The sequence below is a fragment of the Homo sapiens genome, chromosome 10 (genome assembly GCF_000001405.40).
Source record: "Homo sapiens chromosome 10, GRCh38.p14 Primary Assembly".
In the NCBI taxonomy this organism is placed as follows: Eukaryota; Metazoa; Chordata; class Mammalia; order Primates; family Hominidae; genus Homo; species Homo sapiens.
The window spans coordinates 52,049,315-52,066,011 of record NC_000010.11 but is presented as its reverse complement, the minus strand read 5'-3'; the positions used below and the strand labels follow the sequence as shown (position 1 = coordinate 52,066,011).

Here is a 16,697-nt window from a genome sequence, read left to right as displayed (position 1 = left end):
GGGTAGATGTGAAGAGAAAGAGTGGGGCCTTATTTTCTGGCATTCCACTTGCGACCTCAGTTTGTAAATATTTCTGGTTCTTTGATTCTGTTGGAAATAACATTGTTTTCCACAGAGGTATTTAATCTTGGACCAATGAAATCAGGTGGCGTCTTTCTATAAAATGCCACCTGATTTCTATAAAATGCCATCTTTTGACACATTTAATAATCAAAGGAAAGCAAGATTAAGATACAGATGATACATTTATACTAGAAAGATAATGTTTATTTCACTCTTCTGTATATCTACACCAAAAATACTATTTTTTCCAACTTTGACATTGAAAAAAATCTAATGGCAACTATATGTTCATCAGATAAGGATAAAATGAACTCAGTAGGAGAAAAAAGGAAAGTTGAGTGTAGTTACTTCTGAATTTTCATAAGGTAATATAGCCTGAGTAAGATGATTTATCAGAATATCTTTATTTCACTTATTAAGCTGTGAAATAGAAAGAAAATAAAACCTGTCATCTGATTGTGGCTTAAAAAACAATAACTTCCTAAATTACTTCTTAGAAGTACTTTGAAGAAAAAGGCTCATAATGTAATTTTTTAAATGAAGGCACAATTTGAAATGAAAACAGAACTGACTGTTCCCATATGCTAGGAGTAAATCATGTCCTATTGCTGTCCCTCCCTAGGAGACACTCCTGTACCTGAAATTCGATAGAAAAATAAATGTTTATTGGTTGTTGCTTATTCAAGTAGTGTATATACATACAGCACTGAATGTTGAAAAGGCTTATCTATATTTAATGATAACTGAGATATACTGGTTATTGGAAAATGAGAGTAGGATACCCAAATATTTTTATCATGCATTCTGTAAAATGCATGGTAAAAAGTCAACTCAGTTTTTCCTTCATGATACATGAGAAGAACCCCCAAGTGCTTGCTTCTTGATGTCTTAGTTTAAAAATAGAGTATCAGTCTCACAGAAGTACACCTCTACTAGTCTAGCCTTCACAGCCTATCCCATAGTGAATCCAGATGTACATTACCTCCACCTACTCTTCCACCTCTACCACCATAAGAGTGATGACAATTATGACCTACAAGTGAACCCTGGAAATACTTCACTGCCTTGTGATCATTGTGATGGCAGTGGCAGGCCATCTGGAGCTGCTGCTGCCATCACACTGGGTGCAGCAGGGAGGTATGGCCAGGTCTGCACACCCATGGAGCCAGCAGGAGCCGGGGACAGGAGGGACCCCCACCCCTTCTGAGTTGGGATGGGAGCTCCCTGGGTACCACTGCAGCTGCCTAAGCCACGACTGTGGGCCCAGGCATCCCTGTGCTCCTGGGGCTGGGAGGAGGCAGGAGCCCTGTCTTCCAGGGCAAGGCTGCAGCCACCCAAGTCATGGGCAGGCAGGGGGAAGCAGGAGCCCTTTTCTCCCCGGTGCAGCTACAGCTGCCCGAAGTCACGGCCATGGACCCGGGCCTCCCCTGTGCTGTTGGGGGACTAGGAGCTGACAAGATCCCTGCCCTCTTGGAGGTAGCTAGACCCAGGCATTTCTGCACTCTTAGGGGTCTGGGAAGGGCCCCCTGGCCCTCACAGGATCAGAGGTGCCTGCTCCCACTGCCTGGCTTCTCTCTGTTTTTGGCTCCTATTCTGATTTTGGAGGAAAGTTGGGACTGAGCCCAGGCACTGTCACAGTCCGGCCAGGTGTGCACATGCTCAGGGCAGTGCTGGCATGCCAGTCCCCTGACAACTCACCCCCCTCTGGGCTTTGGGTGCCAATGAGCATAGGAGGGAATCCAGTGGTGGGCTGACGGCAGCTTGGTGCTGGCCTGCAGGTGCCCCTGGCACCTACAGCCTGGGTGTCATGAATGGCAGCAGGAGGCAGACAGGTTCCTGGGCAGAAACGTGGTGGATCCCCATTAAGGCCCCACCTTCAGACCAGGGAGGGCCTGAAGGCTGGAGGCCAGGCTGCCAGTCCCATGGACAAGAGTGGGAACTTGCAGTGCCTTTTCTGGACCTGCCTATTGCCACTCATGAACCAATCAGCATGTATTTCTGCCCCTCTGAGGCCCATAAAAGCCCCAGGCTTAACCAGAGCAGAGCAGATATTGGGATGACCAGCTGCAGAGAGGAGCTACCCACTCTAGGGCCTCCTCTCTGCTGAGAGCTGCAGATGATGGGATGACCAGCTGCAGAGAGGAGCTACCCTCTCTGTTGACAACTGAACACTCATTGGGACGACCTGCCTACAGAGAGGAGCTACCCTCTCTGCTAAGAGCTGAACACACATTGGGACACCTTGGCTGTGGAGAGGGGCTGCCCACTGCAGGTTTTCTCTGAGCTATTCTAGTGTTCAATAAAGCTCCTCTTTGTCCTGTTCAACCTCCACTTGTCTGCGTACCACATTCTTCCCGGTCACAGGTCAAGAAATCGGGAACCACTGAATGGTGAGGCTAAAAGAGTTGTAATACAAACAGGGCTGAAACATGCCCCTTGCTTGCCACATTGTAAGTGAAGACAAGGAGAGAAGAGCTGCAGCCCTTTGGGGGGCCCAGACCTGGGAGCTCCCCGAGCCAGGGCTGTGACTCCCGCTTTGGGGCTATGCAGTTCCTGGTGTCTCTAAGCTTCCAGGCACGACCACATTCCCTGATGCTAGCCGGGGAAGCTGCTTGTGGTGTGCCTGGTTCGGCCGCAGCCTTACAAAGATCCCATGCCAGCACCTGGAGCTGCCCACCTCACGGCAGCAGCCAGTTTGTTTGCCTGTGCAGTGGCCAGACCCCACACTCGCTCACGTGCCCCTTGCCACTTCACGCCTGACTTGCAGTCTCCCTTGAAGATGTGGGAACCAGGTCGGTAGTGTGAACTGAATGCAACCTGCCAGGCCAAGTGGGCATAATGAGCCCAATGGGCCCAAGCAAAACTCAGGTGAAGGCGCCCACCAGCCACAGGTTTCCAGCCAGGAAATTGACACCCCAAAGACCCCATAACAATTGTTTGTACAAACAGGTTTAGGGATTTCAAAAATTTCAACCAACTATCTTAATGATTCTGAGTAAAATCATTGCACAAAGTTTAGCAGGGAATTCCTCTCTTTGAAGTTGTTATAGAGATTGCAATTAAGGACACAAACCTGAAAATGTTTCCAATTAATATAACACTGATTTATTAGAAATTAAGGAATTTATTCCACAACGTATTCAAACAGATTCCAAGTCCAGCTGAAAATAAATAAAAATGTATTTATCATCAAGGGTCCATATTTGATATTGAGATAAGCACTAAATAAAAAGCCTATTGTGCTAGGAGCTCAAAATTTCAGACAGAAATTTATGTAGCACTCAAACAAAAACCTGTATAACACATGATCTACTTACCCCTGCAAGGCTTTCTCTCCAAACCAGTCTCCTTTTCCTAAAGTTCTAAGAAAGACTGGGTCTTCACTCGGTGAGTCTTCACGAGTGACATTTACCTGCAAAGAGAAACAATGAAAGTTTAGATCCACTGCTTACCCACAATGGACAAAGGAACACTAATTAATGAAGTTAATTCCGTTTCTTGTTTCTTTTCTTATTTTTATAAAGAAAAAGCATTTAAATTACCACCAAAAGGACCAAAGAACAACATCACAAATTCCCAGGAAAACCACAAGAGCTTACCTCCAAATATTTTGTTATCCTTTCAAGTTATTTTAAAGAAATAATACATTACCAGTAAATTTGATCTCACTCCTCATCTCTATTCTAATTTTCCTGCCTTTATGAAGCAACCACTATAATGAACTTGGTGAGCATTTCTGTCCATCTTTTGATGTGTTTATGTACATGAATTTTTAAAATATATTAATAACATAGGTAGTATTCCTCATTCTGCAACTTACTTTTTTCTCTTAATATTGTTTTAATTATTTATTCCATGTTCTTAGGTATAAATCTATTTCATTCATTTTAACGTATGAGTTTTGTTTCATTATGTAAATATATTTACTTACCCATATCCTATAAATTGGCAATTATATTGTTTCAATTTTTTTCTTTCTTTTATTCATTCTGCTGAAATGAACATCCTTCTAAATGCCTCCATATGCATATCCTAGTTTCTCTAGGATACGCCTGTCCCTTTCCCTGAGAAGAATCCAGCTTTCATTTGAAGACACATCTCATTTTCATAAAGATTTCTTGCATGGCTGTAACTGACTATATCCCTCAAAATCCACATGCTTCATTTGGTAGGATTTCTATTTCTAAAGATATATAAATTACATATAGGCCCTTTTTTACTATAATAAATAAAATGCCCTTAAAAGAAAGTTGTATTTCTTTGGCATTCTCCACAAATTATAATAAGCACTCAATAAATAGTTGTAAATTGTTTTAACAGAATGTGTCATTACTAACAACATAGATAGCCTAGAACACACAGGACTTGTGACTTAACAGAAGGCAAGTGATAATGTTTTTTGTTGCATGAATGAAAACAAAAATAGAGTAACTTGTACCTTTGTGTTAATTCACTTCTCCCTCAAGCTCTACTAACATTCACAAAACTGTCTATGTGTCATCCAGAAAGGTTAGTTAAAATTCACCTACCCGGAAAATGTGATGAAGTAAAAAAACTAATTTCTTGAGACAATGCCAAACACTTAAACACATTTAATAATACTGTGCTTCAAGTTTCTGAATCTAGAGATTAGATGTCAAAGACCAGAATTTTTATAAGTATTAAGAAGGTCTGTGTAAGGTGGAGGAAATTCAATTATTATTCTCCACTGATCCATTTGATTACTCCTCCACACAGTGTTTCAAAACCATGGAAATTCAGTTTTTAACACTTTTACTTACCACTAAGCTGTGTCTCTGTGTCTCTGTGACCACTAAGCTGTATCACAGAGACACTAATTTGCATGCTGAAGAGGCTTTTATAGATGCAGAAACTTCAGTAGGGAGTCTGATCTAAAATAAAGGTTACTGGGCCCTTATTCTTGAGGTTTTCATTCACCCATGTTCATATAAAAGCTAAAATTTATTTTCTTTGTTTAAACAGCATTCCATTATATGAATATTATGCAATTTACTAATTCTGTAGATATAAATGTGGGTTGCTTCCAGTTTTATTTTTGTTATACTTTGTTTTTATGGTGCTATTAACTGTGTTACTGTGAACATTCTTATGCATGTGTTCTAGTGTCCATGGGTAAGAGTTCACTAGGGCCAACGTCTATGAATAAAGAACAAGGTTATTAAGTATATGCATCTTCCATTTTACTAGGTATTAACTCACTCTTGGTACAATCTTACATTCCTACCATCAATGGATGAAAATGCATATTATATTATATTATATTGTTATCAATACTTAATATTGTCAGACTGATTTTTTTCCAGAAAGGTAGGTATTAGATGGCATTTCCCTTATTATTAATAGATGTGGGAGATTTTATCATCTTATTTTCTGAGCCACTTGTGCTTCTTTTGATTATATGTCTGATCATGCTTTTTGCCAATTTTTCTATTGGACTGATTATTTTTGTTGTTGTTCATTCACAAGACTATGGTTTGTCTAAATCATCTTTATGGTGTCCTGTTGAACACATGTATTAATTTTAATGTAATTACACTTAACCGTGTAATATTTTATTGTTTGCATTTTAAAATATCTTATTCAAGAAATCCTTTCTTATCCCAAGATAATAGAAGTATTATCCCAATTATCTTTTAATTTTTTCCTAATTTTTCTTTTCACATTTACATCTGAAACTGCCATTATGTATGGTGTGAGCTAAGGATCCAATTTTATTTATGTCCCTATGCATAACCAATTGTTGTGATACCTGTAATGTCCATGCCATCCTAAATCAAGTTTCCATATTATCATGGATCTTTATCTGGGCTCACCATTCTTACACTGACATATTTGTCCAGTTTTCAGTCAAATTAAGTCCACATTTTTTTCCATTACCTGAACCTTATAATAGGTCTTGATATCTACTGTAGCAACTCCCAATATGTTTCTCTTTCTTTCTAATGTTCTGCCATGTTGGTGTTTTGCTCTTCATTATACTATTTTAAATACAATTTTCTTCTTAAAAGACTCGAACATTTTCTTGTTATAGATATGCCTAGATACTTGATTTTTGAAATGGTATTTTAAAAACGTATTTTAGTTACATGTTACAGTATTTAGAAATATACATGAATTTTTAAGTTATCATATAGTAAAATTTACTTCTATCATATAGTAAAATTTACTTCTTTTTTGGAATATAGTTGTAGGAACTTAAACACATGGATAGATTTGTCTAATTCCCAGAACAATTAGACACAGAACAATTTCATCACCTCCAGAAACTCCTTCACGCTATGTATTTATAGTCATATCCTTCTCATTCCTCACCCTTATAGTCTGTTCTGCATCAAACTAATTTTATCTTTTTGAGAATGCCATATAAATGAAATAATACAATATTTAACCTTTTCAGACCTTTTTTTCTTACTCAGCATTAGACCTTTAAGATTCATCCAAGTTGTTGCAAGATTCAATAGTTTATGTTTTTTATTGCTGACTAATATTTTCATTGAATGAATATGACACAATTTGTTTATTTCTAGTTTTGGCAATTATGAATAGAGATGCTACAAACACTGATGCAGAGTTTTTTGTGTGAGCTATATTTTCATTTCTCTAGAATAAATATCACAAAGAGTAATTGCTGTGTCATACGGTAAATGTTTATTTAACTTTATTAGAAACTGCAAATTGTTTTCCAGAATGGCTTTACCATTTTGCATTCCCAGGAGCAGTGATTGAGAATACCAGTTGCTCTGCATCCTCACTAGCACTTGATATTGTTAATTTTTGTTTTTAGAGTTAGCCATTCTATTAAGTATGCAGTAGTATCTCAGGATTTCAATATGCACTTTTCTAATGACTAATCATTTTGAACACCTCTTCATGTGCATATTTGCCATTTGTGTATCTTGCATGCTGATGTGTTCAAGTCTTTCATTCTGTTTTTTAAAGTGGGTACTTTGGTGTTTTTTGTTGATTTTTAGGTGTTTTTTTAAATAGGATCAATAAAGGATAGGATCAATACAAACCCCTTACAAGACGTGTACTTTTCAAATAATTTTCCCTGTTAGTAATTTGTCTTTCCATTCTCTGAACAGTGTTTTTCCAGAATAAAAGTTTCTAAATTTGATAAAGCCCACTTTATCATTTTTCTTTATGGATTGTGCTGGTGGTGTCATGCCTAGGAACTCTTCCTATCTAATCGCAAGTCATACATTTCTCTTGAAAGTTTTATAGCTTTATGTTTTACTTTTAAATCTATTACCAATTTTCATTTAATTTTTATGTAAGGTATAAAGTCTAGGTCAAGGTTCCCCTGTTTTGGTCCATGGATTACCAATGGTTCCATCACCATTTGTTGAAAAGACTTTCCTTTTGCTGTCAGTTACTTTCATTTACTGATTGCTCTGTTTCTCACCTTAAGTACGTTAACTGTAGGCATGTTGTAGATACCACTTATCAGGGCAAGAACATTCTCTTATATTCTCAGTTTGCTGAGAAGTTTTATTATGAATGGATGTTATACTTGTCACACCCTTTCACTGCATCATTTGGCATGATAATGTGATTTTTTTCTTTAGACTGTTAATATGGTACAATATGTTGAATGATATGGCTTTTTCAATATTCATTTATAGTAAAATATCCAGTTCTATAATGTCCAAGACAGCCACTACTAGCAGCTATTGCAATGTGGCTACTACTACTGAGAAATTAACATTAAAGTTAAGTCAGATAATTTTACTTTAGATAGCAAGTGTGACCAATAGCTATTATATTGGGTTGTGTAGAGATATAGAACAGTTCCATTAATAAAGAAAAATGAACTGAATAATGCCGATTTTGCTAAACTCTTATTAAATTTTAATAATATATATGTCTATATAAAATCCTAAAAGAAACTAAAAACATATCATGTATAAATAATTACTGTTTCTTTATTTCCAAATATTATTTATTTTTCTTAACTTACTATAGTATTTGGGATGTCTAGTACCACATTAAACAAAATTGGTAATAATGTATATCTTTATCTTGTTCTTGATATTAAAAAAAATGTTTCTCAGAGGTTTCACCATAATGTATACATAAACATATGTATACATATGCAAATAAAATTTCCATAACGGAACACTTTTTATATTAAAAAACACTGAACATTGTGTTAAGGCAACATATTTAATTGGCATGTTTAAATACTTGTTAACTTTATGAAGCAAAGCCATGTGATTTTAAATGCCATTTGATAGACAAGAATTTTTGAATCACATTTTTTTCCAATGGTAGGATACGAGGTATGTTGAATGGAATCAGAAAAATCAAAATCTATTTGAGCTACTATTAGAACTCTGCAACTTTGCTTACCCATCCTGTTCCCTGTTCAATTTTGGTTTGATTTATTTATAAAGAGATAGTTCATTTTATGATGTGACACAACTGCAGGGACATATGCAGGAATCTTCGGTGCTTTATAGTTCACTGTTGGAGAAGCAACTCACGTTTCCAGGCAACTGGAACGGAGTGATTGAAGTGTAGAGAACTAACTGAGCTTCTACTTAAGGCAGCACCAGTATTTTAGCCATCATCACTGCAAGCATTCTGCCTCAGGTTTTAGAAAAATCAGATAGCACAGGCTTAATGGGGGAAAAACAAGTACGGCAAAGCTTATTTTATAATGCTTCTCTCTTTGTGTGAATGTGCTTAATGGAAGAATAAAAATTGTTTTACACTTAAATAAGTGGAACTGAACAAGGGGAATTTCATTTGTAGCTTGGCAGCCCCTATTGTGTCTCTCTATCTCACAGCATTTTCTAAGAAAAAGCCAGTTTGGTGGTAGCAAGAAACAGATCTTGCCCAAGGTTATCCTTTATACATTTTTTAAATGCATGGGAAAACAAGTTGACATCTGTACACCTAAAACAAAACATATGACATATAATTGTAGAAAATTCCAGTTCCACAACTTATTTGCCTGCTCAACTGAGCCTACTCTCTTATTATTCACCTCTCTTTCCTGCTCTTTGCCATTGGGACTTAAGTATGCTGACCTCACCTTCTGCTTCTTAAGACTTAATATATTCTAATTATTGTATATGGTGACATATTCTTAATGATTTTAATATGTTAGAATTAGAACTAATATAATTAATATTGTTAATATATTAGTATTAGAATGAATAAAATTAATACAATTATTATGTAATTTACATAACTAAGAATCATAGCAGCTAACTTGTGTGACCTAAAAAAGTAAGTTAGTAGAAATTTATGTCTGGTTTAAAGTAAAAGATCTTGAATGTGTCAAGAGAGTCTAATATATTAGTACTACTTCCCTCCCAGAATCCCCAGAGTGCTCTGAAATATTGCCAAGGGAATTGGTTCCTGTGGTGTAATTTCCACACTTTTTCTACTTATACTTACTATGAAACTCGTAAAAAGGCATGACTAATGCACCTGTCTTCAGCTGAAACTGGTTACAAAGCATTACTTTTAGGCAGTAAAATTTGCACTAACAGGGTGGTAACAAAAGACTGTCAGAAATCCATCTCAAAGGATAAACACATCATTGCATCATAGCGAAGAATTAGCCATGTAGTAAAGAAAAAACAAATCTAGAATGTCAGGACAAATTCCCTATGCAACTTTTCAAATAATTTACATCCATGGCGATTTTCAATTTTCCCTGATTCTTTAGTCAATCTAAACAATAAGACAATAAATGATAAGCTCTAACAATCTATCTTATAAACTACAAAATATTAAAATTTTCTTATCTTCTAACATTGGAAAATATAAGATATAATTTTAACTGTAACCGTGGTCAGACATGTCATTTCATGATATCTTTTAAGAAGTCAGCCTTGAGTTCTACTTCTATCCCAGGCATTCAGAGATCAGTCAAAAGAATAGGAATAATAAAAATATAAATATTGTTTTCTTCATTTTTGTGTGACATGCCACTGGTGTAAATACTGACATATGCATACACTTGATCCAAAAGTAGTCCAAGGAGAATTACCTAAATTGTGATTCAACAATACTTATAATCTTCCACTGCATTCTATTCACTGTAGCTCTGTAAATCTCTCTATATATGAGCTATAAGTTATAGTCAATCATTTTGTTAAATTAGAGGAAATAAATATGCTTCATTTATAAAGTGATAATTATAAAAACGGAAACTGGCCTATCAATTCCTTTCTATTCGCATTTCCTTCTCCATCTCCTTCTATACTTAGTACATGCAGAGATATGAATTCCTTGTAATGATATATAATAAAGAAACATAAGTTTAAATCATAGGTTATCATATAATGACACAAACACAAACATGATTATAGCTTTACTGTGGAAATAAATTTAAGGTATTTTAGTAATACAATAGTATAGCATTAATCTAAAAGAAATTCTATTTTCCAATTCACTCAATTTCTTAGTTTTAAGATATAAATAAATTCATATTGTTGAAAAATTAAAAGTTTTAGAAATAAAGTATGATTTTTCATTCATAACCCTTGTCTACCCCATTTTTACCCCTTCCTTTATAATTTATCACCTTTAGTAGTTTTTACTATCAATATTTCTTTATGAAAATAACTTAAAACATTAATGTATATCTATCCTTATCATCCTCAGAGTATTCAGCAACTTGCCTAAGGGCATTAAAATGACTAAATTTCGTAACAGGATTAAAATTTAGGCCATCTGATTTCAAAGCCCAGATGTTTCATTATAGCAATGTTACTGCTTCTAATGACTTGATGAATTTTGTAAGTGACCTAAGTATTTACTTTCTCTTTTTTTGGAGGCAAAGTCTTGCTCTGTTACCCAGGCTGAAGTGCAATGGCACCATCTTGGCTCACTGCAACCTCTGCCTCCTGGGCTCAAGCAATCCTCCTGTCTCAGCCTCCGAAGTAGCTGGGATGACAGGCATGCACCACCATGCCCAGCTAATTTTTTCTATTTTTTGTATAGATGAGGTTTTGGCATGTTGCCTAAGCTGGTCTTGAACTCCTGAGCTCGAGTGATCCACCTGCCTCGGCCTCCCAAAGTGCTGAGGTTACAGGCATGAGCCATCACATCCAGCCGGTATTTTTTTATTATATTATTTTAATTATGGAGATCTTTCTATTCACACAAATATATCAGTGTCATCTAATATTATGATTATTAGCAAGTAGGCTACTTACTGGTCTTCCAAGTTACATCTTTTTTTCCCTCCTGCATCATTTTTTGTAAGATCCATTCTCTAATACCTCTCTGTGTCAAAAAATGGAACAAACTCATATAGCACAAGACTCTGCATGTGTTCCTACTGGAGTTACTAACCAACCCCAGGCTCCCCTAGTGCATCACTGTCTTGTGCCACCAAAGCTTACCGTTCCTTTGCTGATGATAAAGAAGGTGTCCCCTCTTGCACCTTGCCTGATAATATATTCTCCATTTTCATAGTGGGTCTGAAAAGTAGAAACAATAAGAAAAAAAATTAAGCAAGCAGTAAGTTACCAAACAGCTCAGCCTCTTCAAATATCAACCCCCAGGGATATATTCATCCTAATGGAATTTTATCCAAGCCTGGAACCATCATGATTTAATAATGAATATTAGTCAATGTATGCAATAATGACAAAGATATCATCTCTATAATGCTCATTTTCTTTTTTTATTATTATTACACTTTAAGTTTTAGGGTACATGTGCACAATGTGCAGGTTAGTTACATATGTATGCATGTGCCATGCTGGTGTGCTATAATGCTCATTTTCAAGACTGCTTTTAATGTCATTTTTCTAGGTGATTACATCATACCTTTAAATTCATTCATTTCGATTGTTTGATGAAAATATTCTTTTCTCCCATCAACTGAGCATAAAACAAAATAGCAGAGCTCCTAATAATATAGAACTACTCATTCTATATTATTTTATTTGTCATTCTCATTGAGTTTTATATTCTCATAATTAGAGCCTTTTTCTCCTAAGAAATTGTTGCAGCATGTAAAAATCTTCCTTTGAAACCAGGTTGATTTTTATTGTGGGTTAGACGACCCTAGTTACTTTTTAAGGCACCACTTCATGCTTTAGTGTTCTTGCTTCAGCAGTTTAGATTTGGCCCTGTGAAATGGAATATCTTAATTTTATGGACTGAATTCTGGTCCAGCATCTGTGAGCTTATAAACTATCAAATGAGGAGTGAGGTAAGGCCGCAAAAGGATTATCACAGTCAGTATATCAGTATTCTGACACGGACACCACAACTAGGTCTGTTTCCAGGGTGAAGATTACTTCTGCAATGAACAAAAGTAATTTCAATAAGGAGAGGTCGGAGAAAGTATACTGCTGGGTCAAGCGGTCTAACAGAAAAATGAGAACTGTGCCATCTGGCCCTATCCTTCTCTGCAGCATAGCAGAGAAGCTATATTTTTGGGAAATAAAACATTATTTTGCACACTCCTAACAAAACAGAATTCGTGGTTTACATGCAGTATCCATTAGACTGATGGTTGTTATTTGTCCTTATGCTTCAATACAGTTTTTCTTAACACATAAAGTGCTAAGATTGCCTTAAAATTGCCTTTCATTAATACTTGACATTGAAAAGAGCCATTATTTTCTTAGAGTATCTAGAAAGTTAACATACTACCTAATTTGCTAGTTTTTTTACTCAAAAGTAATTCAGTTTTCTAGGAACAAGATTTTTAAATAAAAAAGTATTTCTTATTCCTTTCCCTCAGTTTCAACCACCAGATGATATATACAGTCTGATATGTACACTTCAAGACTTTCTTTCCATGCTTTTAACAACCACCAACCCATCCTGCACACACACATGAATACAAATAATTATTTCTAAATAAAAATAATATTATAGAATGCATATTCTTCAACTGATTTATTTCATTTAACAAGATATCTATGCTGCACTAAAATGGAAAGAATTTTACAACATGCAGATTTGAAAAACAAAATGGCAGTGGTCCACTTTCATGTATTCATTTAACCAAAACCTTTTTAAGACAGGGTCTCACTCTGTTGCTCATTCTGTTGCAGTGGCCCGATCATGGCTCATTGCAGCCTTGACCTCCCAGGCTCAAGTGATCCTCTCACCTCAAATCTCATCTTAAATTGTAGCTTTCATAATTCCCACAGGTTGTAGGAGGGACCTGGTGGGAGATAATTGAATCATGAGAGCCGTTTCTTCCATACTGTTCTTGTGGTAGTAAAGAAGTCTCATGAGACCTGATGGTTTTATAAGGGGTTTCCTCTTTGGCTTGGCTCTCATTGTGTCTTGTCTGCCACCATGTAAGAGTGCCTTTTGCCTTCTGCCATGATTGTGAGGCCTCCCCAGCCATGTGGAATGTTGAGTCCATTAAACCTTTTTCTTTCTAAGTTACCCAGTCTTAGGGATGTCTTTACCAACAGTATGAGAATGAACTAATACAGCCTCCCAAGTAGCTGGGACCACAGGTGTACACTACCATGCCTAGTTAATTTAATTATTATTATTATTATTATTTTATTTTTTTTGTAGAGAGAGGTTTTCCCTATATGTTGCCCAGGCTGGTCTCAAACTCCTGGGCTCAAGTGATCCTCCCACCTTGGCCTCCCCAAGTCTTAGGATTATAGGCATGAACCAGTGTGCCTTTCCAGCAAACATTTCTGAGGGCCTTAGAGTCAGGCCTTTTTATAGGCATTGATAACACAAAGATGAATAGGGTAAAATCTCATAATAGCTCCATCCACTGGAAATGTTCTATAACTGTATTGTCTAATATGGTAGCCACAAGACACATGGGGCTACTGAGCATTTGAAATATGACCAGTGTGACTCAGAAGCTGAATTTTTAAATTTATTTAATTTTAATAAATTAAAGTTTAAATAGTCACACATAGTAGATACCGTATTGGGTAGCAAAGGTAGTAGCAGAGTTACAGTTGTAGCTTTGGGACAAGCGGGAGAGGAGAACATCTTTCCCACTCTTGATACTTCCTTCCACGTGAATGAAGCTCAATTAGTAAAACTAAGTACCTTTCTCTTCCCCTTTCCTCACTCTGCACCAGGAGAGGTGGCATGACTCATCTGATTGATAAACTTGGAAGTAAACAGCTATGTGTGCTCATCCCAACTTCTCTTCTTTTCCTCATGGAAGGGAGCTTCCCACAGAGGGCTGGCATTGCTGCTTCTCCAGGGAAAGGCCCTTCTCTTCACAATAGTGAAGTTTGCCCCTCTCTGAGCTTCTGTGACAGGGCAGGTAATTCTGCCCAATGATAGGGTTCAATTTGGGAAGACTAGCTGGCTCTCATACCTAAGGTACATCCTGTAACCCAGATTTTATTAGTAATAATGGTAATGTTTTGCCTCCATTTATCCTACTCTTTGTCTTGTTTCTCACTTGGTTCCTAATTCAAGATCACTCAACAATGCCAGAATAATCCAGCTTGCAGAATGCTTTCCTGTATATAAGTACAGGGCTATACGTGTGAGAGCACAGTCTGGGAGACATGTGACTTCCCAAGAGCTTCTCCATGGAGGATTCTTGAGCCCCAACAGAAGGATAAAGAGGTCACCAATATTCAGCAGGTTAAAAACACCTCAGAAAGAGGAGAATAAGCAGCTCATTATGATCAAATAATACTAGTGAATATACAATTATTTTGGAAAAAGTAGAAAAATGCAAATAAAAAGCACCAAAAATTGAAGAACTCTTAACCTATGTGAGCTCATTCCCCTCATCCATCTCCTTTTAAAAAGCATATCCCTATCCATGTGATAGTTATTTTCTTTCAGAAAGCCAAAATTATTTGTAATATATTAAAATGAGCGAAAGTAAGGGGTTCTTAACCTCAGCACTATTGACATTTTGAGGCCATTCGTTCTTATTGTAGGGAGATGTCCTGTACATCCAGTTTTGCTGCAGGATGTTTAACAGAGTTGCCAGCCTCTTCCAACTAGATGCTAGTAGCACCCTAACCCCAGCTGCAGAAATCAAAACTATCTCCAGACATTGCTAATTACTCCATTGGGAACAAAACTGTCCCCAGCTGATAGCAATTACTCTAAATTTTTTATATTCTTAATCTCTTCATCTTAAAGAGTTGAAAGTTTGGTGGGGATATCCAGATATAGTCTAGTCTATTTAATTCTTGAAACTTATCTAATCATCTTCTTAATATCATCTGATATGGTGTTTCATAACTCAACTTGTCATATAAATATCTGTTTACCTACACAGGCATTCACTGAACGAACATATGTCCATGTTGCATGAGCTCATAAAATCCAGGGGTCACAGAACAACCTATGGAACAGTGGCCAAAGGCATTCTAGGTTTGGGAAAGATAATATTTATGGTGTCGTAACACCAGGACTGTAATGACTAAGCTATTCTGAAACGTTTAATTGCACCTGAGGGGAAGATGATCTTGCATGCTGATTCTTTAAGAGGCTCTCTAATTATGTTAATCAAATGCCAGCACTTTCACTGGTTTTTGAAGGTTATTTTACAGCTCTACCATTTTCATATTTCAAATTAAATCAAAGAAATAAACAGAATTTAGAGTAAGAAGAAATCTTAGCAATTAGACAGCTTCCTTTCAAAGGTTTCCATAGTTATTAAGATAAAAGCCAGTTTCTCAAACATGGCCTACGAGACCATGTCTGCTCAATGCCATAGTATCCAACCTCTTCTCACTGTTCCCGATTTTGCCCTCCAGCCCTGCCAGCCTTCTGAGATTGGTTCCTTGACTGTGCCACCACCAGGCCTGAGCACTCCTACTGCCATACTTCACTGCTGCTTCCCTAGTTATATCCTACTTTTCTTTCAGATCTTAGCCTTCTCTCACCTGGCATACCCACCCTTACCACCACCACCACACACACATGAACACACTCTCTCTCTCTCACACACACACATTCTGGCTAAATTAGTTCTCTCCATTGTATGAACTTACAATACCACACAGGTCTATTTCATTGCCCTTTTCTAGGCTTCTACTTGTTTATTGACTTGCATGATTATTTTTCACCAGATTTTAACTCCTCTGAAAGCAAGAACTGTGTCTAGTTCTGTTCACCACACATAAAATCCCCAGTGCCTAACCTTGTGCTTGGAACATAGTAGGGACTCAAAACTAATTGCACAAATGAGGTAGTCTTCCTTAATCCCCATCATTAATATTGCCCACAGTCAGTCTATTAGAAAGGCTTCTACTTCCAACTCATGGGCTAAACCCAATATTCTTCCACTATCCCCATTGTTTTTTTCCCTTGTTCAAGACAAAATCTTATCTTGGACCTTTGCAATGTCTTCTTATCTGGTCTCCCTGTCACTTGTCTACTCATCATACCCCAAACCATCCCCTCTATTTTTCTCACTGCCATCAAAGTGACCTTTCAAATAACAAATCAATTGAAATCACTTTATTGCTTAAAAACTTTCAATGGCTTCTTACTACAAGTAAAATCATAAACAATTTATTGTGGTCTGTAAAATTCTCTGTATTCTGACCCCTATTCACTTCTCCATCCTTTCCCCTCCCATTATCACTCTTGTGATTCTGTTTCAGACTTGCTGGCTTTTTTTCTGTGACTTGCATGTGCCATGCTGGATCCCTTCTAGGGACTTT

General features: G+C 36.9%; 1 protein-coding gene across 6 annotated transcripts in view, besides 2 other annotated features; it reads right to left on the bottom strand.

Moving 5' to 3' along the window:
* The window catches only part of PRKG1 (protein kinase cGMP-dependent 1), a 1,307,463-nt gene that overhangs the window by 232,339 nt on the left and 1,058,427 nt on the right, over positions 1-16,697 (bottom strand). For 5 of the 6 annotated variants that reach the window (NM_001098512.3, XM_017016413.2, NM_006258.4 and 2 more), the window contains 2 exons: positions 11,451-11,528; positions 3,381-3,475 (listed from right to left, as the gene is read on the bottom strand). In NM_001098512.3, the coding sequence (NP_001091982.1) occupies positions 3,381-3,475; positions 11,451-11,528 (173 nt within the window). Of the gene's footprint in view, positions 1-3,145; positions 3,476-11,450; positions 11,529-16,697 lie in introns of those variants that run through there. The other variant, NM_001374782.1, reaches the window with a different exon arrangement.
* Positions 851-1,455: an enhancer, noted in NCBI's record as "H3K27ac-H3K4me1 hESC enhancer chr10:53824317-53824921 (GRCh37/hg19 assembly coordinates)". NCBI's record gives its function as "activates a minimal SCP1, AML or CMV promoter by ChIP-STARR-seq in primed H9 embryonic stem cells {active_cell/tissue: H9 hESC(primed)}" and the evidence as "EXISTENCE:reporter gene assay evidence [ECO:0000049][PMID:30033119]".
* Positions 1,456-2,060: an enhancer, noted in NCBI's record as "H3K27ac-H3K4me1 hESC enhancer chr10:53823712-53824316 (GRCh37/hg19 assembly coordinates)". NCBI's record gives its function as "activates a minimal SCP1, AML or CMV promoter by ChIP-STARR-seq in primed H9 embryonic stem cells {active_cell/tissue: H9 hESC(primed)}" and the evidence as "EXISTENCE:reporter gene assay evidence [ECO:0000049][PMID:30033119]".